General features: G+C 52.2%; 1 protein-coding gene and 1 long non-coding RNA gene across 7 annotated transcripts in view, besides 2 other annotated features; both read left to right on the top strand.

Annotated features, from left to right (window-relative positions):
* BCL11B (BCL11 transcription factor B) overlaps positions 1 to 25,528 on the top strand; it is a 102,911-nt gene that overhangs the window by 56,609 nt on the left and 20,774 nt on the right. The window lies entirely within an intron of this gene.
* Positions 1,253 to 18,196, top strand: LOC124903412 (uncharacterized). Its single transcript, XR_007064392.1, has 2 exons — positions 1,253 to 4,646; positions 4,696 to 18,196. It is a non-coding gene; the product is annotated as an uncharacterized LOC124903412 (long non-coding RNA).
* Positions 3,749 to 4,249: an enhancer, noted in NCBI's record as "H3K4me1 hESC enhancer chr14:99677677-99678177 (GRCh37/hg19 assembly coordinates)". NCBI's record gives its function as "activates a minimal SCP1, AML or CMV promoter by ChIP-STARR-seq in naive H9 embryonic stem cells {active_cell/tissue: H9 hESC(naive)}" and the evidence as "EXISTENCE:reporter gene assay evidence [ECO:0000049][PMID:30033119]".
* Positions 23,098 to 23,659: an enhancer, noted in NCBI's record as "H3K27ac-H3K4me1 hESC enhancer chr14:99658267-99658828 (GRCh37/hg19 assembly coordinates)". NCBI's record gives its function as "activates a minimal SCP1, AML or CMV promoter by ChIP-STARR-seq in primed H9 embryonic stem cells {active_cell/tissue: H9 hESC(primed)}" and the evidence as "EXISTENCE:reporter gene assay evidence [ECO:0000049][PMID:30033119]".

The raw sequence follows: 25,528 nt of genomic DNA, 5'->3' as shown, positions 1-25,528 counted from the left end.
CCTGGTTTCATTTATGCTGGAGCCAGCCTTACTATGTGAGAGCCGTCCGCATGCTGGAATTAGTCTTAAGCTTGCTTCTGTGGCGTTGCCAAATTCCATGTTTGTGTTTTATTTAGAATTCTTTTCACGGCCAGCCGATTCTCTGCCGGCACACATAGGCACTGTTGCGCCCCATGGAGAAAATAAGCAAGCTTGCGTTTTCTTTGGCAGGGGCCGCGGCCACAATAGACTGCGGTCTCCGAAACATTTTTTAAAAGCTATTTTAACCCATAACAGATGCATAAAGTCGGCTCAGGCATGCCAGTTTTCTTAGTTTTAATTAAAAAATAATTACAGTCTAATGGGATGTTAGTGACACATTTGGATGAATGGTGGGTGACATTATCTGCAACTTATAAATTAGTGCATCTCCCTTGGCCGGAGCAGGGGTGGGGAAGAGCTGGGGAGGGAGAACGTGGATATCTGTTCTTCATTGCAGGGTGGGGGGCTGGGGGAGATGGGGTTCCTTCTGGGCATGGAGGCAGCCCGTGGAGCCCTTGGTGAGAGGTCAGCAGCACTCAGAAGGGACATTCCGCTGTAGCTGTCCAGGTGACAGTGCCGTCAGGAGGAATGGTGGTGTGGGCGCATCCCCCACCCCTGCATGCTTGATGAACTCACCTGTGGAGTTCTTCAGCCGGGAGATGGCTGTACCTGGGTGCTGTAGCCTCAAGCCAGCACTGACTTCCTGGCCCCTGTGACCCCTCCCCTGCTTCAGGAGCCACCCATCAGCTAGAAGCACATCCACCTGCTGGGGCCATGGGAATAAGATGCTGCTGGGAAGGTAAAGAGGCAGAACAGCACCGTCCTGCCGGGTCCCCATGCTCCCAAGAAGGCTGCATCCAGATGCTCATCCTGTTTATTTATTTATTTATTTATTTTTTTAATATTTAAATGTATTTTAGGTTCCGGGATACATGTGTAGAATGTGCAGGTTTGTTACATAGGTAAACGTGTGCCATGGTGGTTTGCTGCATGTTTTTTTTTTTTTCTTTGAGATAGGGTCTTGCTCTGTCACCCAGGCTGGAGTGCAGTGGCGTGATCATAGCTCACAGCAGCCTCAACCTTCTGGGCTCAAGTGATCCTCCTGTCTCAGCCTCCTAAGTAGCTGGGATTATGGGCATGCACCACCATGCCCAGCTAATTTTTTAAAATTTTTTGTAGAGACAGGGTCTTGCTATGTTTCCCAGGCTGTTGTTCTCAAACTCCTGGCCTCAAATGATCCTCTCTCTTCGGCCTCCCAAAACACTGGGATTACAGACATGAGCCACCACACCTGGCCACACCTGGATTCAGATTTTATGTAGAAGTTGCCACTCATTGGAATCTGGAGTGGAGGGCAGTAGGCTGGAGTGTCCCTGGGAGGCAGGGTCTTTGTGGGAATTGAAGCTAGGAACAGGCAGGGCCGTGGATGGGGGGACACTCACTGTGCCAGAAGGGAAGGGGAACTTCTGTGCTGTTTCACCAAGGGGGTCAGTAATATCCTCTCCACTAATTAGGCAGCTGACAAATGGTGACCTGTTGTTCTGACACTTGAGCCCAGGTTCTGCCTGCCCTCTGTGGGGTCTGAGGACTGGGTCTAGGGAGAGGGAGGAGTCAGTGTCCTGGGGCCAAGCCTCTCGGAGGAGCACCGGAGGGCTGGGATGTGTCACCTTGAGTGTTCCAGCATCAGAAGCAAGATGCTGGCCCCAGCAGTACCCTTGTGCCTGGGCGCACGGGGCAGCCCCTCGGGGGGCCCTTGCCAGGGGCCCCTGTGCCTTGTTGCCAGATGCTCTCCAAGCAGTGCCCCAGAGAGGGGACAGGATGTGCCCCAAGTCCCTGCGCTGAGCTAGGACACGTGTGGCTGACGCTGGACTCTATGCCTTCCCCTTAGACCTTTGTGCTCTGCCCAAGCTCATGGACTCTGCAGCCTGTGGCGTCCGGGAGTGTGGGAGACAGGCACCGGCTGGGGTTCTGCATTTGTACTTTTGGGGTAGTAGGACTTACCATTGCCCGTGGAGTAAAATGAGTGTTTCTTAGACAATATTTCCCTGAGCCCAGATTCCTCAGAAGTGAAAATTAAGTTCTTCTATTAAAAACATGAGTCATACCAGTCCAGATGAGAGTCATTTTGGTGTTCCTCGAATTTTTGGAGGGGAAACGTCGCATTCATGTTAATCCATTCAATTATACCTCATTGCTGAATAACGTGCCGGGCATTCTGGGTGGCAGCCTCTGCTGTCTGATTAGTCGGGGCTGTGTCTGCTGCACTTGAGAGGGAGCAGCTCGGGGCCTTCATCCTCTTTTGTGCTGGCACACCCAGGTCGGCCGAGCCTCCGGGGCTCCCTTCTTCATTCCAGGGGCTCATCGAGAGCCTGGGCATGGTCTCAGCATCTGATTCTTGCAAATGATTCCTGCCCAGCTGAAAAGCCTCCCTGTCTGTCTGCTCATGTGAGTTTTAAGCAGATGGCAGTAGGTCCCCCACTCTGCACTGGCACAGGGTCTAGGGTCCCCTCTCCCCTGGTGGGCATCCTGCTCAGGTGAAGGTGGAGACAGGCTTGGTTTTGTTCCCTCAGTGATGTTATTTTATCCTCCCAGAAGCCACCAATGACCAAGACTGGAACCAAAGCAGGAAATCAAAGCAAAGTATCACTGGGTTTGGGGACAGACCCAGAGACTTCTTGTCTAAAGACAGCACATCCTGCTTTGGGCAAGGGAGCCAAGCAGGTGGGGGAGGTTGGAGAGCATCATGGCCCTGGGATCAGCCCTCTGCAGTGCAGTCTTTCTGCCTCTCACATGGGCCCTGTCAGGGCCTGGGTCACAGGCAAGTGGACACTTGCCTCCAGCTTCAGCTCCTGGGGGTGGGGCGTGGAGGGGTTGTTCTCTGGGAAGTCTCTGCTGAGGTCGGGGCTGAGGTCCGTGTCACCTGTGCCCTCCCCGATGGGCCCCTGTACTTACCCATGGAGACACCTATCACGGGGTGGGTCTCCTTTCCTGTCTCCCTGGCTGTCCTGGGAGACCAGGCTGTGAGCTAGCCTGGACCCTGTTTGTCCCCATAGGCCCAGGCGGAGGTCTGGCCCCCATGAGGCTGTCCGTGAGCGCTTGTGAATGAAGTGAAATCAAGTGAAATGAAGCTGACTAAGCAGACACCCAATGTGGCCAGAGATCCAGGGCAGGTGCATTCGGAGCCTCAGTTTCCTGCAGTGTTGGCTGCCCGCCCAGGCCCAGGGGAGGCTGCAGGTTTGCACATTTGGACAACATGGGGCTTGAGCTGCACATGCTGCAGCTGTCTGACCAACCTGGAAGGCCACCTCTCTGGCTTTGGGTGCACCGTTTGATTTTTGGAAATTTTGGGGAGATCCATTTTGCTTTTGCTTCTTTATTCAGCAAGTTGCTCTAGCCCCCCCAGTGCTCAGGTGAATCCCTGGGTAGGAGGAGCAGTTGCTTGGGTTGATGGCACCTCCTGGAAAAGAAGACAAAGTGTAGGGATGATGAGAATGAGTGGAAGTCGGTGGGCAGGATGGGAGAAGCTTTGGGCTTGGAATCTGATCCAAAGTGTGGTTTCTGAGTTTGGAACCAACTCTTCTGCTGGGATGTGTGGAGGGGGGAGTGGGGATGGGCAGGGGTTCAAGTTCATTTACTTGTATCAAGTTGAAGTTTCTTCTTCTTATAAGTAAGAAGCAAAAGCCCACATAGATGATGAGAAAGACAGGCTGGAAAAGCAGACTTTGCTTACTCATTAAATTTTCTGTAAAATAAACACAAGTTTAGAACCGAGGAACCAGTGGTGGGGGGTACTCCAGAGGGCAGGGCGGAGTTTGGTGTGAACCTCTGGGTGGGAAATGCACCAGCAGGTCAGAGTCACACATTCACGTGAAAGAGGTCAGGTGCAGCCCTGAGAAGTAAGGACGATGGACTCGAGGAACCAGGTGGAGGGGGGTGTGTGTGCACGTGTGTTTGTGCATGAGTGCATTGTGTACATGTGAATGCATGTGCATGTGTACATGCATGTGTGCACATATGTCTGTGTGCACACGAGTGCATGTGTGAGTGTGCATGTGTGTGCCCATGGATGCATGAGTGGCATTGGCAATTCTACGCTATACCCTGAGACCAGGCTCTGTGGCCGGCTGCCATGAGGAGGAGGACAGAACAGCAAAAGGCACAGGCCAGGATGGAGTGAGGGGCCCAGACAACACCCAAGTACATGACTCTGCCCTGGGCCCAGAGGCTGTCCAGCTGCAGGCTCTCATGGGGACCCCTTTACTCCCCTGGTTGCCCATGGGCTTGGGCTGGGGACTGGAGCCTCTGCTGCTCCCATGGTGCTTTCTGAGGCAGAGAGTCCTACGGGGTGCCAGACAGGCCTGGGGCAGACCTGGCTTTGCCTTCTTAACTGGATGACTTTGGCCCCCACTTCCATCTTCCAGCCTCAGTTTCCTCACTTGCTAAAAGGAGATCATGGTATTACCTGGGTACGCATGTGTGGATGGCTCAGGACGGGGCCCGCATCTGCAGGCCTCAGCTAGGGGAGCTGTTATTGATCTTATTATTATGATCATTGTCGTCATTGGTAGAGGGGAAGGTGTCTATTGATCTTATTAGGATCATTGTCATCGTTGGTAGAGGGGAAGGTGTCTATTGATCTTATTAGGATCATTGTCATCGTTGGTAGAGGGGAAGGTGTCTTCTCCATGGTGATGCAGGGCTCTGCGGCCCCAAGTGCAGCTAAGTCAGGAGGAGGTGATGGTGAAGACTGGGTTCCCACCTCAGGCTCCTCCGCACGTCAGTGTCAAAGTCACCCCTGCTAGACCAACTCTGGGGCTGCAGTGCTTTCCTGGATCTGGCTTTGGGGACATCCTTATTCCCCAGTGGGAAGCCCTACCTTCAATCTCTCTCTTCCCTAGAGTGACTATCCACACCTGAGCAGGAAAAGCCTTGGCGTGGACCCAAAGCTGGGGAAGTCAGTTTCTTGGTCCTCGGGCATGAGCTGCTTGGGCTCCTGTGGGAGCCTGTTGCAGATCCAGAACGAAAGGGCTGGAGCAGGGAGGTGGCCGGCTGAGGAGAGAGAGCTCTTCTCGGTGATTTCTCCCTGGAGAAAACCTTTTCAGTAAACACACTTCCGCAGTCAAGACGGGCTGGAAAATCTGTGCCTCCTGTTTACTGTGGGCTGAGAAAGCCCAGGGATGTAGGGCAGCTGCAGGCAACTCTTCTTCCTCCCCTTCTCCGGTTTTGGCCATTGTTTTGGACCTGCTCTCCCAACCTTTCTATTTTCTGCAGTGCTTATTCTATCTCTTTTGTTTGTTTCTTCTGCAAGGAATAGGATGCAGTTGTCCAGAGACGCATTAGAGTTGGGCATGTCCGTAGCATGTGTGCCTCCATTGCTCCCTCCTATACCATAGCAGACATCACTTGTCAATCACAGCACCTCCTTCCCCTGGGCTCTGGCCTGGATGCTTCAAGCTGAGAGGTAGGGCAGCCTCTGCTAATCAATCGTGCTGCCCAGGAATTGAAACTTAATTTCTGTCCTGGCATGACTTTCCTCAGAGGAAATGGTAAGAGGGTGCACCACCTCACACCATTTCCTCAGCCCTTGATGAGAGTCTCGGGGGGCTCAGAGGTCTTCCTGGTTATGGGACCATTCAGGGGACTTAGCTGGAGGCATTGGCCTAAGTGTTGCAGCTGTGGAGATAGTGGCTGCCCTGTTGAGGGCTAGTGGGTGCCAGGCCATCCTGAGCACTGCATTTTTGCAGTGGTTTTGCAGTCAAGGTGCACAGAAGGCAAGGCTTTGAGACTGAGGTCATAGATTTAGAGGCAGAGAGGACAACTGGCCTGGCCGGTCCACTCCAGGGCACTCACCTCTCACCCACCCTCGGGCTTCTTCCCCCACCCTCAGCCTCCTAGCTCTCCTGTCTTCCTGCAGCCATGGCCCTGGCTCAGCCTGAGGCTGAGGTTCTCCCCTGCCGGGGGCCAGGCTCCCCAGGGGCTGGATCCTGCATCCCTGTGGCACCTTGCTGAGGTCGTGCTGGGCGCATGCTTCTCTCCCCTGGTTGTCCCAGTGTCCCTGGCAGCTGTTGTTACTCACAGCTCTGGGCTGGGCTGGCCCTGGCACTGACCTCATTCCAGCCCACGACCAGGCTTGTTCCTTCACATGGCCTCGGTGGTCTCCATGGATTACACCCCAGGGCTCTGCCCTGCTCTCTGGTCGCGCAGGAGTCCCCTGCGGATGTCAGTGGAGGCCGAGTGTTTTCATAAACAAGAAGCGGAGTTTTGGGGTCCAGTAGGATTATGAGCCGAGTGAGAGATGGAACCCCCTCCCCAGCCCATGGCCTATCGCCCTTTCCCTTCAGAGTCCTCATTGTGACTCTGTGGCAGGATGGCAGCTCCCGTCTTGCAAATGAGGAAACTGGGGCTCATAGGAGTCCAGGGCCTCTTGTAAGACCTCATGGCTCTAGAGTGGCAGAGAGGGGGTTGTAACCAGGTCTCAGACTGTAGCCCTTCTCTATCCTAGACACATTTTAGTAAAGCTCTTCCCCACTGTGAGCCCATCTCAGCCTCTTCTGCTGTCACTGTGCTCTGCTTCCCGGGAGGTGTCCTGGCTCTCGCATGGAGCCTCTCTCTCCCACTTCTTGGGGGCTCGAGGTTTCCATGTCCACGTTGGCCTTGGCCTGGCTGCAGTGTATGTGGCTGTTGGAGCTGAGGGCAGGGACGAGCTTCATGACCTCTGTATCCTGGTATCAGTGTCGTGTCCAGCCCTGAGGGGCCTCACGTCTGCTGGGTGGGTGAATGGAACTAGAGCGGTTCTTCCAGCGAGCACTCCTTTGCGCAGACTCGGCTGCTGTCTTGGGCCAGAAATGCCTCAAACAACGGGCCCAGTGGATTCTGGGAAGGGGCCCTGCCCCGAGCCTGCCCGGACAGGAGGGAGGCAGTGTTATTAGCTAGAATTGAGTCTGAAGCCAAAGGGAACCTGAAGGCCCCCTTTCCTCTTGTTAAGTGCAGCCCCGTGCTCGGTCTTGCTTGGGTTAGCTTCCCTGTCTGCAGCTAGAAGGAATGGCCCTTTTATTACTTTAGCGCTTCAGGAGACCTCGGGAAAGCTAGGTGTAAATATTAGAGGCTGCCAACAGCCAGTGGCAGCAACTGCTTAATAAACTCCAAATAAATAATGTGGTGATTAGCAGGGATTGCAGCTCCAAGATGCTGGCCTCTGTGGAGGAACGGTCCTTGTCCATTCCTGGGATCTGGGGCTCAGGGAAGTCCGAGGCCCTGTGGCTGTGGCCCAGGTGACCACACCAGGCTTTTCCAGTGGGGGAAGGGATGCCAGGCCTGAGCAGGCCCATCTTTGTTCAAATTGTGCCACTCCAAAGGACAAGGGACAGGATCCTTCGCCTCTTGCTTTAAAACATCCGGGCTTTCAGACACCCCTGTGGGAAAGTAGACTCCTCATTGCAACATGCATGGCCCCTGGGACTTACTGGACTCATCTCCCTATGCTGCCCTGTGTCCGCTACCACCCAGCCAGGCCTCCTGGGGTAGACTTCATTTACAAAGCACCCGCTCTGTGCTGGGCGTGGTGCATCTGCTCTCTCCATTCCTCCCAATAATGCTGCTCCGCTGGTGTGGGGAGATGGAGACTCAGGGGCCTGTTACTTGCCCAGGGCCACCCAGCTGGTGGGAGCTCAGTTCCAGGTGGATCTGGGGACAGGATCTGCCAGAGCCCTGTCCCTCAGGGCTGCTGTTGTTGGCAGCTGAGCTCTGCTCCACTGGGCTCCTTGCTCCACTGGGCTCCTGGGTGCCTCTGCCCTTTGGCCTGGCCAGACTCTGCCCAGCAAGCCCTGGGCATCCCCAGGCAGCCGAGGGAGCTCCTGTTTACTCTCCGGGAAAAGCTCCCCCAGGCAGCACTTGCACCTGCCTCTGGGCCGGCTGATAAGTCATGTCACATCCTCTTTGTGTGGAATGTGAAGGCCTCCAGGGCACAGATTGTGCCTGATGCCTCTAGCTCCGGCTCCCAGCACCCAGGGTGCACAGGAGGTCAATGAGGGGCTGAGTGAATAGGGGATGCTTTTGGAGCCCTCTTGCCCACCAGAAACAGGAAGGGCACTGGAAGTGACTGAGGTGAGTGCCCAAAGCTCCCTCAGCTTCATGGGGGATTTTCTGGTCCCAAGGTCTCAGCTAGAGGGACTTTAGATTGGAAAGGAAGGGATGAGGTGCCCTTGGCCAGGTGATTTCTGAGAGTTAGGTCTGCAAAGGCTCATCAAGGTGCAGGGGGCCCCCTGAGCTGGAGCAGCTATTGGGTCCTCATGTATTTTTTCGCTTTGTCATTTATGTCATAATAAGAGGAATTTGAAGTCTCTTGCTTTAAGTAAACCAGTAATAGAAGCATTAAAATGATGGTGAAAGAATGAGAATCATACAATCAAGGGACAGAAAAGGTAGTCCTAGTAATCTGCATTGCATAAAAACCTAGAATTTACCTCTGAGCTTCCTGGCAGCCTTGGCAAAAATGGAAACATTGTGATTTCTGATTCACTTATGAAAGAAAGTAATAGTTCAGCATAGAGAGTTTTGGATCAACTGCAAGCTTGGAGGGCTTCATCCCATGGTTTTTTAGATAAGACCGGGCCTTTATCTATGATAAATACCAGATAGTGAAGTACTTTAGGGTTCGTGGGCCAAGTGGTCTCTCTTGCAACTATAGTAGTCTCCTCCTAATCCTTGGGGGGATATGTTCCAAGACACCCAGTGGATGCCAGAAACCTCGGGTAGTAGTGAACCCTGTTGTACTGTGTTCTTTTTCCTATACACACATACCTATGATAAAGTTTAATTTATAAATTCAGCACAGTAAGAGATTAACAACAATAATTAATAATGAAATAGAACAGTTGGAACAATATGCCAGCATCATTGCCCTTGCACTTTGGGGCCATTATTAGGTAAAATAAGAGTGGCTTCGACACAAGCACTGCGATACTACCACAGTTGCTCCGATGCCCAAGGAGGCTACTAGTGACTAAGGGGCAGGTGGTGTCTTACAGCATGGATATGCTGGACAGAGGGAAGATTCAGGTCTTGGGCAGGACAGAGCAGGGTGGTGCAAGATCTCATCACACTACTTGGAGTGGCTCAAAATTTAAAACTGATGAATTGTTTATTTCTGGAATTTTCCATTTAATATTTTTGGACCATGGTTAACCTCGGGTAGCTGAAACCCCAGAAAGTGAAACCACGGGTAACAGGGAACTACTGTATTCAACTGTGCCACTGTAGTGCAAGAGTACCCGTGGACTATTAATGAACAGGTGTGGCTGTTGTTTCAATAAAACTTTATTTACAGAAACAGGCAGACATCCATGGCCCGTAGTTTGTGGCCCCCAGGGATAAGAGATAGTATTACCCTGATGGATGACTGTGACATCTTCCCATCTTGACCCTGTTGGAGGCTGAGATCTTCTTGTTCTGTGTCCTTGGATCACCCTCTGCCTCTGCTCCTGGAGAGAGAATCTGGTCCAGGAGGCCTCTGGCCCTGGCCTCCATTGGATGAACCTTGCTGGCTCAGGTGTTCCTTCCCCAAAGCCTCGGTCCTCTGTTGAGGGTATCGGGGGTACTTCAGGCTCCCTTCCCACAAGACTCCCCTCCCAACCCCTGGCTACGAAGGGCTGCCTCTTTGGAGCTAACCTTCCTTCAACAACTTGATTCTGCAATGAGAGATCTTTGCTGGAAGACCTTGGTGGGAGTGGCTTTATGGCTGTCTGGACTTGGTCCACCGTGGTCAAGAACCATACTGCTCCCGGGAACTGGTATGTGTGCTGTTATTTTCTTTTAATTTTGGAGGTAAAATGTGGGAACAGAACTTTCTGGGAATTCTGCTCCTTACCACGTACTCTGTTTGTTTATTTACATATTCCTGACCTCATTCCACAAAGCTGGGGGGTAGGGGGGCGGATGCTTCAAATGTCCTGTCAAATTTTGGGCTCCTTTTTCCTCCTCTGGAAAAGGGAGCTCATCTCAGGCATCACAAAGTTCACAGAGCGCCCAGGACAGGGTGACACAGGAGGTCCTCACGTCGCTCCTCCCCTTTCCTGGCATGCTGGTGTAGCGAGCGCCTGGTCCTTGGGCGCATTTAACCAGTCATTGTAGAAGTGGGAGATGCAGGCTTTGGGAGAGTCCGCGAATTTTCCCAAACCGTCAAACTTGTGGAGCACCAGAGTGAATGCGAATCCTCCACTGGCCCTGCTGGCCTGGGCCGTCTCAGTTAGGGACTGTCCCCGGATGCTCATTTTCAGGGTCTGAGACCCTGTGGCCACACCTCCATGAAGAAATGGCCGGGTAGGATGGAGCCGTCATCACTACCAGCTGTAGAATTCTCTCTTGACAGCCCAGGAGGGCCCTCGGTTCGTTCAAGGGCCTGTTTTTTTTTTAATTCCCTCTTCCTACTGTTGTGAAAGAGCTGCTTCCATTAAGGAAGGATCATATTATGCTCCCTTTCAAAGTAATGTAACTGGAGGGGCATCCCCTGAACACCTGCCCACAGGTGATCTGGGACCTGGTCCGCCTGTCCTGTCCCAGGTACCCCTCCATCCAAGGACAGGGGGCACAGACTGTAATGGTGTTGTCACATGAAGTGGGCTGAATTTAGGCCCCAAGTTACATGTCTGTGTTTTGCTTTGCCCATGTGGCCTTATTGTGTGTACATTTATGAGTTTCTTTAGGTTTTGAACATTTTTGAATGAGAAATGCAGGCAGCCCTTCGTGACAGCCTTCAGAGACCCAAGGACGGAAGGAAGATGCTGCTGTTCGATTTTGTCTAGAACATTCTTTTTACCACTTGGGCTCGAGCTCTCGCTCTGTCTGGATGTGGGGGAAAAGGGACATTATTGGTAAGGGAGAAGGTTCTAGACACTCTTGTTAGGCTCCCAGATGCCCAGCACTGGCCTGGCCCCTGGGAGGTGTCCAGGGACTGCCCCTGGGATGAATAGCTGCCGGGCATTGGCAGGAAGCTGGTGGAGCAATGTGGGGTGGAGTGGGTGTTGGCGAGTCCCCCACCCACCTCCCTGAGCACTGTGGAGTGAATGATAGGGCTGGGGGAGCAAAGTTCTGAGTTCTCCTGCCTGCCTCCCTCCCCCCTACCCCAAGGCTGTTGGGTGGTGAAAATGCCTTTGGCCACTGCAGATGGAAGAGCTCGGGTGCTCAGGACAGGCCAGTGGGGTGCGGGATCGGGGGCAGTTGCTAGGTTGTTACAGGTGCCTTAGCCTCTCTGCACTAACCCCAGGGAGAGAGAGGCCTTCATTCCAGACCCCCTGGAAAGACGAGTCCACAGACTTCCCCAGAGGCCCACCAGGCAGCTTGTGCATGGATCCTGTCTGCAGCAACCTGCCCAGAGATGGGTTCACAGGTGGCTCATTAGTGAACCCCTTTTGTGGGCCCACCTCCAGTCATCACCCACAAGGCAGCCTTTTCCCCTCTGAGGCCGAGCTCTGACTGAGCAGGGAGAATGCCCATGCTTCAGGCACTGGGTAGAGCCTGGAAGGCTAGGGTGGGGGCAGTGGCTGGAAGACCATGAGGAGGAAGTCCTTCCATCTGCAAGGGCCTGGGGGACCTGGGGGCTGATGGCATCCTGGGCACTGCTGACCTTCTTGTGGCACTCCTTGGCTCAGAGCGGGGGGTTCAGGGGCGCTTGGGGCGTTGCGATAAGATTGACTAGGCCACGAGAGGGAGGTGGCTGCTTCCTTCTGTGCGCTCCCCCGGCCCCCAGCCCTCTATCCCTATCTGAGCTGAAGGTCCCACTGTGCTGGCCTGTAATGATGCCTTCAGTGTTGGGGGTAGGGGGGCTCCCTTCATAACCACGTCCTCTCTTGTCCAGCACAGAGCTTGGCCCAGGAGATGCAGTTTTCAGACCCATTTGTGCAATTACAGAGTAAAGAATGACTCACTGAATGAATGAGTGAATGAATGAACTCCTTGTGAGTAGGGACCTTCCCAGGACCCCCATGGTGCCTAGCACATAGTAGATGCTTAGGAAATGCTGCTCAGCCAGTGGACCCATTCCGAACCCACTTCTCCTTTCTTCATCCTCACTGACACTGATGGAACGTGGTGCACCTTTCCTTTCGTTAACCTCTTTGAACTCGCCTTTAAGAAATTAAAGTTCTGGATTCAGTGTCAGTGTTCTGTTGGCCCCAGGCATGCATGTCAGCATCCTGCCACTAGAAGGTCTCAGGGGTCAAGTGAGATCTTTTCATCTCAGAAGTCTCTCTCTGTCCTGGGGCTTCACGGGTTATTTCCCTCTTTGATGATGGGATTTACAGGAGCAGAGCTGAGCCCTGTGGAGACCTTCTGTTTGGTGCCAGGCCATGTGGCTGACTAGGCCTGTTCTGCTCCCTGCGGCCATGGGGAACGAGAACGGGAACACATGGGGCAGTGGAGCAGCCCTTGCCTTCCAGATCTGTGGTTGGGGAAAGCCACAGCCTCAGTTTGTCTTCTAGGAAGTGGGAGTTGAGATAGGGTGTGGAAGGGCCCAGCTTCGTGCCACAGTGGGGTGCGGACATTGAACAGCTGAGAGCCGGGATGAGGGGACCCTGTGTATTTCTTAGTGGAAACAGCTTTTCACCGGCTGTCCGACCCCAGAGCACTTGGGCTGTGAGGCCCTGGATTCTTGGCGGGGGTTTGAATTAGATTTGCCTGGTTTGACTCCCTTCCTGACCAGAGACCAGAACCCAGAGAGGAGAAGGGACACTTCTGGGTCACTCAGCAGGGGCAGCGCTGCATGAGACCCCAGGCTTGTTCTACCGGCTCCAGGTGGCCTCGGCCTCGCTATTCCCTGCCTGAGCTAGGCTGAATGAGGCTGAGGCTGGGGAGGTTGGACTGCCCTGTAGCCAGGAGGACTGTTAGACTTGAGCTCTAGTGGCCGACGACAGGTGGCCTCTGCTCTCTCCCCAGGGCTCTGTGGGCCCTGCCTCCCTCTCTCTCCCTCCCATCCCCATGAGTCCTCAGGGCACTCCTTGCGTTGCCTTGCGCATGGCTTCAGGAGGAAGCTGTCTTGTTTGTCATTTCTGGCCCAGGGCTGGGCTGTCCTCTTCTACTTCAAGGCACATTTTGGCTGATCATGAAATTGCTACCCAGCACCTTCTCTGATGGAAGGGCAGTGAGCTGACAAGCTGGGAGGCTCAAGTGTCCTCCTCCTGGGATAGGCCTATTAAAAGAAAAAGCAGGAGAAAAGAACTCTTAGAGGCTCCTACAGCATGCAGAGCTTTCACCAGAAACAAGTGATCCTGGCGCTTATAAAGAGGCCAGTGGCTGGCCATGCTCACACCTGTAATCTCAGCACTTTGGGAGGCTGAGGTGGTAGGATGGCTTGAGTCCAGGAGTTTGAGACCAGCCTGGGCGATATAGTGAGATCCTGTTTCTACACAGAAATAAAAAATAAAAAAATCAGCCGAGTGTGGTGGTGTATGCCTATAATCCCAGCTAATCGGGAGGCTGAGGTGGGGAGAATTGCTTGAGCCCAAGAGGTTGAGGCTGCAGTGAGTGGTAATCGAGCCACTGTACTCCAGCCTGGGCAACAGAGTGAACTGTCTCTACCGAAAAAAAAGAGGCGAGTGTTTCTGGCTGATGCCCCGACTCCTTCCTGCCTGTTGTGGGCTCAAGGACCCCCTTTGGAGCCTGGCATTGTTCTGGTCACCAGAAATAGAGAGGAAGAGTGCAGCTCCTTGGGGGCACCCTGGCATAGAGCCCGGGAGCAGTGTGAGGCACCGAGGGATGGTCAAAGGGAGGCCAGGAGCTCTGCAAGGGAGTGTGAGCCCAGAAGTGAAGGAGGCAAAGACATTCCCAGGTGGGCACAGTGGAGGGGCAGCCACACAAGGCAGAGGGGATGCCAGTGCTGGGTGTGAGCAAGGAGACACTTCTGGGATGTGCCAGGGGCGGTGCAGCACCAGGGACCTGGGACAGGGTGCAGAGAGACGGCCTGGGTGGCTGCTGGGGGCAGAACAGGGTGAACACAGGGCCAGGACAGGGACTGGGGGCAGGTCTGTTTCCCTAGGGAGCAGCCTTGTCATGGGAGGTGGGGGCTTCTGGCTGTGTGACCTTGGACAAGTTACTCCACCTCTCTGAGCCTTGAGTTTCTCATCTCTAAGCAGGAAGGAAGCCCCCTGTGGGATGGTGATGATCATGACAGCGATTCATGTTGCCGCAGGCCTTCATCAGGCTCTAGATGAGAGGGGAGCATTGTCCCGTCACCATTTGTGTCCTGCCCTCCCTTAAAACAGTATTTGGACTGTTAATTGTGTGTGACAACTTTTTAACTACCGACCACTCTTCAGCTGGTGAGGGTCAATTTGCTTTTCAGGCATTCTTTACAATGAGCCTTGGTTTTGCTTCCAGGGTGAGAAATCCCTGGCGAGGGTTGCGTTTTCCTCTGTAGAAATGATTTGCACGGGCTACTGCCCACTTCCCTCGGAGAACTGGGATCCTCTGCAGCTTTGATCCTGCTCTTAGGAAAATGCTGGAGGCCTGGTGGGGGGTGCTGTGTGTCCACTGTCCGACCTGCCTTGGTGCCCTGGCTTCTCCTCCCATGCTGCGTCTGGCTGTGCCACTTCCCCAAGCCAGCAAAGTCTGGTCTGAGAGCATAAAGGATACGGAGGCTGGACTTCCCCTGGCCAGCCTGTGGACCACTGGGGGGCTGCTTCCCATGCAGTTTGAGTCAGCAAATATTGACCAGGGGCTGCTCTGTGCCAGGCCTCGGGGGAGGGCTCCAGGCCCCGAGGTGAGCCACACGCAGGGCAGTCTCTGCCCTCTGGAAGCTTCTTGTCCAGGACTTGCCGGCTCTCATTCCATCCTGGGTTAGCTCCAGTAGTGGCTGTGCCAGCCTCCTGCGCCATGCCAGGGACATGTGGCCATGGGGGTCTGTGACCCAGCCCTGGAGCTGGCATTTGCAGGGTGTCCAGATGGGTGGGCCATGTGGTATGAAGAGAGATGCCCCGCCTCGCTGCCTCATGGGCAAAGTGGCATCCCTGGGCCCAGGCAGAGATTTTCTCACCTCTCTGAGGGACAGATGCCCAGGCCCCCAGAGGAGGCCTGTCGTGGTTGGAGGGCTTCCAGATGTCAGCAGATGCCTTGCCCTACAGGGCCAACTGTGCCTGTGCCTGTGATCTGGGGCACTGCTCATGTCCCCTGGCTCCAGCCATAGATATTGGCTTCTTGGCACTTGGCCTGGCACGGCCCTGGGCTTTGTGAGTGGGAATGACACAGCTCCGAATGGGGCTTCAGCCCAGTCCCCTTCCCCTGCCCATTCTGGGTGGAATCTGAGCTCCCCAAGACTGACCAGCGCCTGTGCTCCTGCACCAGGACAGCAGGCTCTTCTCTCGGCTGCGGACCCCTGCAGCATCCTGGATTCCCAAATACTCACAGTGGGCCTCATGGGGTTTCACTGCGCACCCGTGATGTGTGTCAATAAGACTGTTTAAAAAAAAAAAAGACGAGAGTCCCTGTCTGTGGTGGAATTTGGTGCCTTTTGAAGCCGAGGGATGGAGAAGTCAGGGGGAGCTCTTTCACAAGAAATAGACTCTCATATCTTGGGATTTGGGGAAACAGAACTGGTGAGGTTTTTTTTTTCCTTCCCAGGCACGCTGTATTATTAAGACACTCTGTCTTATAAGGGATGTTGGATAATTAATCCTGTGGCGAGGCAATACCAACAAGCGTTCGAATATATTTAAATAATGAGGAAGTTCTTTAATGTGGACCCATAAAATAATTGTGGGCCAGTGGCATGAAAAACAAGAAGATCTGTATTTATTGAAATGTACTTTTCCCCTTTAGAAGACAGGGATTTTTCTTTTGTGTACACACACACATATGCATGCACACACGCACACACGTGCACGTGCGCGCGCGCGCGCACACACACACACACACACACACACACACACACACACACACACAGCATTTAGCCAGAACCCTGCTAAGTCTTCTCCCTTTTCAGTCAAAAAGAATCAATTATGCCTTGTGGTCGCTTTCCAAAAACCACTTTTGATTGTGTGATTTTGTTTCAGTCGAGAGCGCTCCAATCAGTCCCTCAGAAACAAGAAGGGGGAAAGAACCCTCTCACCAAATATCTGGGCGTCTGTGCAGATTCTCAGCCATTGAGAATATTGACAGCAATCAGAATTCCTCGGCTGTTGAAACTTCGCCTCTAATTGAACTGGGAAAGGTAAACCCAGATTCAGGGCTCTGCACGCTGTAATTGCAATAATTTAATTTAGCTATTTAACCTGTAATTCAGTGGTATTTATTAAGGAGCATGGGAGAAAATGAGGCCATTAGGAGCCAGAGATGAATACATTGAAATGAAAATGAACACTTCTAACTGCCAGTTGACCTTCGGTTTGTAGCAGTTTTTATTAGGCTGGTCACGGTAATTACCAGGACGTGGATCAGGGAGGAAAAGCGAATAATTCGGTAATGAACATTTTTATTCATTATCTCACATTTTCAGGAAGCGGACAAGTATCGCAAAAGTATCAGTGATGCTTCCTTTCTGTTTGTTTTTTTAAAAAATGATTGTTTTGGACAACGGCCCCGCGCAAAGCGTCCCTCGCCGTGAGCAAGTGGTGTCCGGGGAGTCTGAGCTAGGCGCTCTGGTGTGTCACGGGGCTGGGGTGCACCTGGGGATGGCTGACCTAGTCTGCCTGGGAGGAATGCAGAGAGTCGGAAGCCTGCTAGCCCCATTCGCCGAAGAGTTTTCTAAAACCATTGATTAAGTGGAAAGTTTTTTGCTGTGCTGACCGGGGGTGGGGTGGAACAGGTATTCTTGTGTCTTAGGATTAGCCCAGATGGGGCTGTTCTGGTGAGTGCAAAGCAGTGCATTTCGGAAGGTGCGGAAGGTGCGGAAGGTGCACTCTGTTTGGAAGGCTGGGGGTATGGCTGAGAATGTGTCGCGAGACCTTTCATACCATTCAATCCAGGAATTCTACTTCCAGGACCACGGCCTGAAGACTAACCAGGGACACGCATAGGCTCATACGTATACACCTGCAGCGTCCCTATAATCATGGAAAAGAGAGTGGTGAAATAAACATGCCCCAGCCATAGGGTGGAACATCACCCAGCAATTGAAAATAATGATGTCAGGGCACTTCTAGCGATGTGGGAAAATGTCAAGCACAAATCAAAACTGTATACAGCAGGAGCTCAGCTGTTTGAACTGTATACAGCAAGAGCTCAGCCGTTCGATGTCTGTGTGTTCTTGTCTATCTGCATCCACAGGAAAGGGACCGAAAGGAAACATTGACATTTTAAGAGAAGTTATTTTGATGGATTATATTTCCTTCCATATCCTTGTTTGTACCTGTAAAGGTTTCCACAAGAAGAAAAGTTTCCTTGAAAATCAGACAGTGCAATGACACTGATCTCAAAAGTTGTAGCCACTTTTTCTCAGTGGAAAGAAAAGTTTCTAGCTGGGCACCCTGCATCGGCAGCCTCTGCCAACCTTGTGGTTTCATTAGCTCCTCCTCCCACTTCCCAGAAAACCATCCAGCCCTTCGATGGATCAGGGGGATACACACTAAGCCCACGCGTGTCAGCCAGCTGTGATGGATAGCTTCCCGACACAGCCCGCGTCCTGTGCATTTGGGAGGCATCGTCTCTTTATTGCTCTGATTTCCATACCTGGCTTGCGGCTTCAAATTGGAAGTCAGGGGCCTGCACAGCAGAGTCTGCTGTCCTCTTCTGGGGCTGGGGGTGCATGACCCAGAAAGGGGGACACTTGGTGAGGATGTCTCCCTCGCACGCAGCTGTCCAGTTGATGGCCTCCGTCTCTGAGTCTCCGCTCCAGCCGTCTGTCTGCTTCGTTTCTGGCTGTGGTCATTTCCTTTCAGATAGAGACGTTAGAAATAATCATATTCTATTCACGCAGCGAGGAAGAGTGCGTGCGGGGTGTGTATCTTGGCGTTGTCAGAAGAACCTTATTAGATAGGAGGCGAATCCTCCTCCCCACAGCAAGGGCTTCATTTCCTCCCTGGAGCACCCCTCACCACCCTCTGACACCCAAAGGAATGAATGAGAGGCTTGCCTTGTGAAAAAAAAATTCTCTTTCCAATCTTCAATTTTCCAACTTCACTCATTTTCTTTATTAAGGGTACTATGGATATTGGAAAGAAAGAAATAAAATGACAGCTCTGCCCTGAATCCAGAGTGGGAGACCCTGCTTTGCATACTGACTTCAGCTGACTGGCAAGAGAGGGGCCAGGGGTGTCTTTAGGCCCTAGAGCAGTGTCTGGCACACACTGGGTCCCTGTAGGTGTCCCCTTCTGTCCTGGGGTCCTTTTCTTACTCATCTGCTCATTGCTTCTGACCCACTGCCACCAACTGTATCCCTAGACAGTGCCCAAATTCAGACCATGTTAGCAAAGGGATGTTGTGTAGCCTGATAAGGGTGCAGGCTGGGGAGGTGGAAAGGCATGCATTTAGCTTCTGGTCTGGTGTTGGGCCTCAGTTCCTTCACCTGTAACAAAATGAGTATGCTTCCAGGTCTGAGAATAAACTCCCTGGAATTATGCATGTGAAACCTTCGGGCCAGGTTCTGAACATGGAAGGAACCAGAACATGGAAGGTTCTTGGTAAATGTTCCCTTTCCTCCTTCCAGCCCTGAGCCTCAACATCACCATGTGATAATCTCAACTGGTGAGGATCCTGTGCAGCCTTGGTTGAGAAAGCACCTGGTTTATGAGGTGCTCATGTGAAGGTGCTCGGTGTTCGAGTTGTATCACACAGCCTTGGCAAGCATTTGGATTTTTTGAGCGGGTGGGTTTGCACACTCCCTGCACACAGAGCTCCTGTTCCGTTTGCAAGGTCCCCTCTCTTGTGGACACAGGTATCCTCTCTGATGGTGGACAAACATCTATCCAGTGTGCAGCTGACCGGTGGAACTGCTGAGGCTTCAGCTCCTGGGAATCTTGGGGGGCATCTGTCAAGACAGCTGCAGACAGGGAATGGTCAGGGCACATGAGCCGCTGCAAAGTGAAAGCTGCTGTGGCCTAGGACCTTAGGTTTTCAACCCACTGGGAACAGCTTTGACCAGGATAGTTGGGGACACGGAGCTATCTCCCTGAAAGATGGGCTGGCTGGCCTGGCTCAGGAGGGGAAGGGGAGGATGCCAGGACATTGAGGTCCTCATGTTGGAGGAGTGGCCGGTGCACCCCCAGCCCCTGTTTTTTTCAGGTCCACAGAAGGTATCACGGTGCTGCGCCCCAGTCACCACTATGATCAGAACACTGCTGTCCTCACTCGTGTGGAGGAACTTTGGAACCTTTCCTCCCCTGGTTGCCTGGTTACAAGATCATCTGTCATGTGTTCCCTGAGAAGAGGGCTTGGCTGGGGAGACGTGGGCTGGGGGGCAGCATTGGGAGATGGTGTTTGCCTTTGGGAATGCAACAAGCACCTTCGATTCTATCTAATTCCCATTTATATTATGCCGGACAGCCCCACCACCCAGCTGCCCTCTCGAAGCCTCGGACCGCTGGGGTTTTTTTGATGCATGAATGAAGACTGGGAAGCGGGCCAGGACTTGGCTCATGGGCTTCTTCATCATTTATTAGCTTCTAGTTTTAATTGTTTCCCGACTTCTTTCCAGATATTTATCTAGGAAGAAATGTCAGTTCTCACTGTGCCGCGCAGACACAAGGGGCGGGTGCAGACTGCAGAATTTTAAGGGCTCTTCTGGGCAGCAGGCAGGAGGGCTGTGTCAGCTCAGTCTAGCAGGTGTTGGCTGAGCACCTACTATGTGTCAGATGGTGTTGGGTGGTGAAGGGTGACAGGAATGACTGGGACGAGGCTCCCACTCTGTAGGGGCCTGTTATCCTTGGGGGTGGGGTGCTAGCTCGAGGAAACTTACTTATGCTTTATTTTGAGCACTTCCCATGCTGCAGGCCCTGGGATGGATGTAAGCTGTGTATCCTCGGGTGGGTTGCTTTACCTCTCTGAGCTTGGATCCTCCATGTGGAATCCAAGGCATACGAGCCTTGTGGGGGTTCACGAAGATACACTGAGGCACTCAGCAAGTGCTCAGCAAGGGCCAGCCATTGTTTTGGGGGTGCAAAGCCCAGTGCAGTATCCTGGCTTGGGGGACTGTGGTGTGTGGTGGGGTGGGCAAGGATAGAATGCTGGGTGCACCATTCGCCTGCAGCATTCTGGTCTCATCTGCAAAATGGAGGTGCTGGGGGAGCCCCACAGAGGAGGTGTGGGGAATACTGGAGAGCCCTGGGAAGCTTCTCTTCCTTTTCTTCCAGAGGAGCCCTGGGTCAGAGTGGACCACTGTGTTGGTGTCTGTGGTGGATTTGACAGTGGGGCTTGAAAGTACAGGTCAGGAAGCCAGGTAGTTCGCTCCACATATTTTCCTGAGAACGCATCTTGGCTTGCTTTAGGTACTTTTCAGTCCCCTGATCATCTGGGCAGAAGAGGAGTCTGAAGGCTCGAGTTCCTGCGCCAGCCTCATCCTTGGGCTGTGCGACCTCAGGAAGCCCTTTCTGCATGCTGGGCAGCCTTCGTTTTCCCATCTGTGCACCTGGGGGAGATGGCTCTGTGCTAAGGTGACTTATTGGTGGAAGGAGCAAGGGCAGGCTGGCTGGACCTGCCTTGTTGCCTGGATGGCCTTGGGTAGACGCGCTTTGTTCCTGAGCCTTGGCTTCTGCACTTGGGAGCTGAGGTAAGATGGGATCGTGGTAAGGACTGACCAAGGTCCTACTGGTCGGGTGCCCGTGGTTCAGGCCTGTCTGCATCCTCGGGGGTTGCTATTATCGAAGGCCGTCTGCTCCACGGTTGAGACTGCTTTTGAGCCAAGTCATCCAAGCCTGGGTCCCAGCTCCTTCACTTCCTGTAGGACCAGCCACGCAACCTGGTTGAATCTCACCTTTCTCCCCTGAGTGACAGGGAAAATATTAGCTTCCTCTGGGGGCCATTTTGCAGACAAGGCCTTTCACACCGAAGGACAGATTCAGAGAAGTTAAGCACCTTCCCCAGGGTTGCCCAGCTAATAACTGCCGAGTCATAGCTGGTTGGGAATAGAACCCCATAGTGTTCAGTCCTTTGTTCAAGGTGCATGGGCAACACTGGATGGGGTTCTGGGTGCCCCACAGGGCAGAAGCCGAGAAGGACAGAGCTCTGGCCATGCCTACAGGCATCTTCCTGGCCCTGCCACCCCCTAGGGATGTTGTCCAGGAGCACTGGCTCCTTGGCGGGCCCATCTTACCAGAACTGGGTGTGTTCTGTAAGCCAGTGCAGTCCGGGGAAGGCCTTGGCGGTTTGCTGACTGTGACTTCTGCTGCTGGGGGACAGTCCGGGGCCAGCAGCACTTGCTCTGTGCTGGGGCTGTGAGGAGGGAGGACAGGTGTCCAGGTGGTCGCCCTGTCACCTGCCCTGAGCTTCCTGATATTTCGTCTTCTCCATCATGTTTGGGAGAATTCATGTGTGGGGTCATGCACGTTTCTCACGACATTCCCATTCCTTGCAAAATCACTGAATTTGCCATTTGCTTTGGGCCCATATTGTCTGGCAGAAACCATTGAAACCCCCAGTACCCCCATTCATATTGACAAGCATTGGGGCCAATAAAATGGCCGGATCTCATTGGCTGGAGCACTGCTTTGGGATGGCTGCAGAGAAGGGGGAGAAATAAAATCCTTCAGATTGGTCAGCCTGCTTTTCAAACAGGAGTCTACAAACGCATTTTAGATTTGGGGTTTTAAAAAGACAGATCCCTTCTGAAATTTGGCCAGAAATGATTTGAAACAAAATGATCACAGACTTGATGAAAAAGAGGTGCTATCAAACCCTCTTCATGGTCTGGACCAGAACTTCTGTTGGCAGTGGGGTTCGTTAGTGTGTGTGTTTGGCTGTTGGTTTCTCTATTTAGTTGCATGTATTCTTATTATCTTAGATTTGGCTTTAATCATTTATTTCATTTTTTTAGAAGGGAAACTTTTTTTTCTTTCTCCAGAAAAAAGAGGTAAGAGGATTGGGAGGAGGGTCTCTCCTCTGCAGCCGGAATCCGAGTTCTCCGGCATGTTGTACCAAGTTGATGGCTATTATTCCCCCAGAAAATAATGTCCCCTTTTTTTTTTAAACTTCCTTTTAACATTCTGCCCTTGGCATCTGTTCTAGGCATTGTGGACGAACGTAGACTGTGTTCTGACAATGGGTTAAAGCAAGCACTTATTGAAAAGCATTCTCTACTTAATTACATTTCCTTCTTCTGGAAGCTATTTTAATTTTTTTTATAATCACATGTTAATTGTGTATTAGCGGGGCCTTTCTGATTAGTTGAAAACATAATGAAACCTTTGTAAACAACATAGGGAGAAAGAAAGAGGAGTGTGCGAACAGACAGTGGTGATGAGCCAGTTGTAAGAGGCCGAAATCACTACGTTTCTTGATGCCAGGGAGGGGCTGAAATTGTACCTGGAAGGCCCCTTTTGAATGACGACTACTTGGTGGCAGTGGCTGACCACGGTGGCTGATCAGTGACAGAGAGGGGTTTGGGGATTTGTTCATGAGCGGTCCCATCTCATCTTAGCCCCTCTTAGCCCCATCCTGCTGTCTTGCACTCACTTATTCACTCATTCATTCATTCACTTATTCACTTATTCACTAATTTACTCATTCATTCATTCACTCTTTTATCCATTCATTCACTCATTCATTCATTCATTCATTCATTCACTCATTTACATTTTGATCATTAAATAGCATTCTCTATTGAGCACTGACCAGAGGCAGGACTCTTCCATGCACGCTCTGGAATCTTTCCACATCCTCAATACAGGTGTCACTCGCATTTATGGATAAGGAACTTGGAGCTCAGAGTTGAGCTCACTCATTCATGTTCAGCCAAGGCTAGGAAGCAGGAGAATCAGATCTTTCTGGCCCACAGCCCCAGCCCCAGTGTGGTTCCCAAGTTGCCATGTCCCTTCCCATCCAAACTTCAGCCGGTCTGGTACACCTGGTACCTGGCAGGACAGCAGGAGGGTAGAGGAGGCAGCGGGGCTGGGCCTGGGTGTGTGTGGCGAGGACGAGGTGAAAGGTAGCGCGCTGTGGTCTCCAGAACGTGCCGGCATTGTTTTATTTTCTGCCTTCTAACGAGAGCCACGTTTCTTGATTGAAAGCACCAGCCCCAGTTTACAGTCCCTATTGTGGCGAGCGGGGCCCCGAAAGCCCTGCTCTGTTCCCCATTTAAAGGGCTGGGCTTACAGGGGTTTTGCAGTTCCCAGGCTGTTATTAGGGAAGCGTGGCTGGGGCGCTTAAAATGAAAGTGCTACTGTATGCGAGAGCCAGGTTCACCGTGTGCGCTCCAAGGAAACGCTGCCAAGACAGTATTATGAACAGCCGCCAAGCAAAACACACGCATTCCGTCCAGTGGAGCCAGCACTGCTGCAAATAGAGGAAAAATTGACTTTCTGATTTGGAGTGTTTCTACAACTAAGAAGAATCACTCCAGTGATTGTTCTAAAAATATTCCGGAGCTAGCACGTTCTTGAAGGCCTCGGGATTCTGAGCGTCCCTTAATTGTACTTTTTATGTAATCTCTCTGGATCGTGTTTTTTAAAAAAATCACTTAAGCTTGCGTGGTCATCCTCCTCCCCCCGTCACCCCACATAAGTGTTGATGCTGCGTGAAAGAGTGGCATACGCAGCAGAAATTGTATTTTTATCTCTTTGACTTCAGGAAGTATATATTTGTTTTTCATCTCCTGCAGCCGCTGTTGCAGGGCTCACAGCTGAGCCACCAAATCTAGGGCAGCCCCTGACATCCCTGCCTTAGTGGCCAAGCCCAGCTCTGGAGGGAAGTCACTCGGAGCATTTTTTTTTTTTTGGTGGAGGGCTGCGGGCAGGGGGGTGCTGACAAATGCAGTCCCCCTGCCCCCTCTGCCATTTCAGGCTGCCTTCCCCCTTCACGAGGCTCGGAGCTCCCTAGGAGCCCCAGATTCTCAGCTCCAGGCAACTCTGGAATTCAAATGATTTCTACAATGATGAAATTGACTGGGATTCCACAGTTTCTTTATTGCCAGAGAAGTAGATGGTGTGGGCCCCTCCTCTTCTCTCTGTCTTTTCAATTCTCTCCACCTCTTTCTCCCTTTCCCACTCTCTTCCTGACTCCCCACTTTCTCTTTCAGTCTATTTTTTTTTTTTTAGATTTAGGTGCGGTCCCCACAAGGAAGCCAGTGTTTAAGTTGACGGGTGTGGCCCAGGGCTGCCCACTTTTGGGACAGTTGCTATGTGGACTGGCTCATCCTTTGTTGGGGAGATGTCCTGTGCATCGTAGATGTGCAGTGGCATCCCTGGCCTCTCCCCACTAGATGCCAGTAGCACCCCAAAGCCCAAGCCCCTTCAGTCTTGACAATCACAAATATCTCCAAATATTGCCGCAGGTTTCCTGGAGGGGCAAAACAACCCTCAGTTGAGAACCACTGTCCTAGGCTGTTTTTTTCTAACTGACAACAACCTGGAAAAGGCCTGGGGGAATATTAGTATCTATTTTGAGGTTCAAGAATAACCAATAATAAAAGAGTGGAATCAAAGGCCTTCCTTGAAAATTGGGACTGAATTCCCATTGTTAGATTTTACCCCCAAAGCATATTTTAAAAAGAAGTAACAGGATGACCCTAATTTGAGGGTGACCCCCCCCGTGTGGCCGAAGCGGGCGGTGGGAGTGGAGGTGGTGAGCTGTCTGTCACAGTCGCACCTGTAGGAGTTGGAATGGCCAGGTAGGTCAGACATCTGTACCTTCAAACAGTCGAGCAGTTTTTCTCTGAAATATTTGCCATGCCGAGCTTTAGAACAATTCTTCTTTCTAGAATTAGCTTACTGATAGCCTTATTGGTGAATGGATGCTTTTGAGAAATTTGCCAGTGGTTTTGGCAGTGTGTGTTGGAACTTTCTCAGTTTTACTGCCCTTCCTCCCTCCTTTCCTTCCTTCCTCTTCCCTCCTTCCCTTAGAGATTTTTTTCCCCATTGTTAGGAATGGGACTTCACTAAAAAAACAAAACAAAACAAAGGCACAGACAAGTGCCTTTTTAAAAAAATTAGTATTTATTTATTTCTATTTGAGACGAAGTCTCGCTCTGTCGCCCAGGCTGGAGTGCAATGGTGCCATCTCGGCTCACTGCAACCTCCACTTCCCGGGTTCAAGCGATTCTCCTGCCTCAACCCCCAGGTAGCTGGGACTACAGGCGCATGCCACCACGCCTGGCTAGTTTTTTTGTATTTTTAGTAGAGACGGGGTTTCACTGTATTAGCCAAGATGGTCTTGATCTCCTGACCTCGTGATCTGCCCGCTTTGGCCTCCCAAAGTGCTGGGATTACAGGCGTGAGCCACCGCGCCTGGCCCAAGTGCCTTGTTTTAAAGACATATGCTGTAACTGTTTCTGTGAATCATGTTATGTGGCTTTAAGTGTTGGCTCATTATTGGGACACCCAGTAGGGTCGGGTGCCAGGTGTCATTGCATCCATCAGCAAAACCTGTCTTTGGGAAA

This window comes from Homo sapiens, chromosome 14 (genome assembly GCF_000001405.40).
Source record: "Homo sapiens chromosome 14, GRCh38.p14 Primary Assembly".
Lineage (NCBI taxonomy): Eukaryota > Metazoa > Chordata > Mammalia > Primates > Hominidae > Homo > Homo sapiens.
This window is presented reverse-complemented; position numbering and strand designations above follow the sequence as displayed.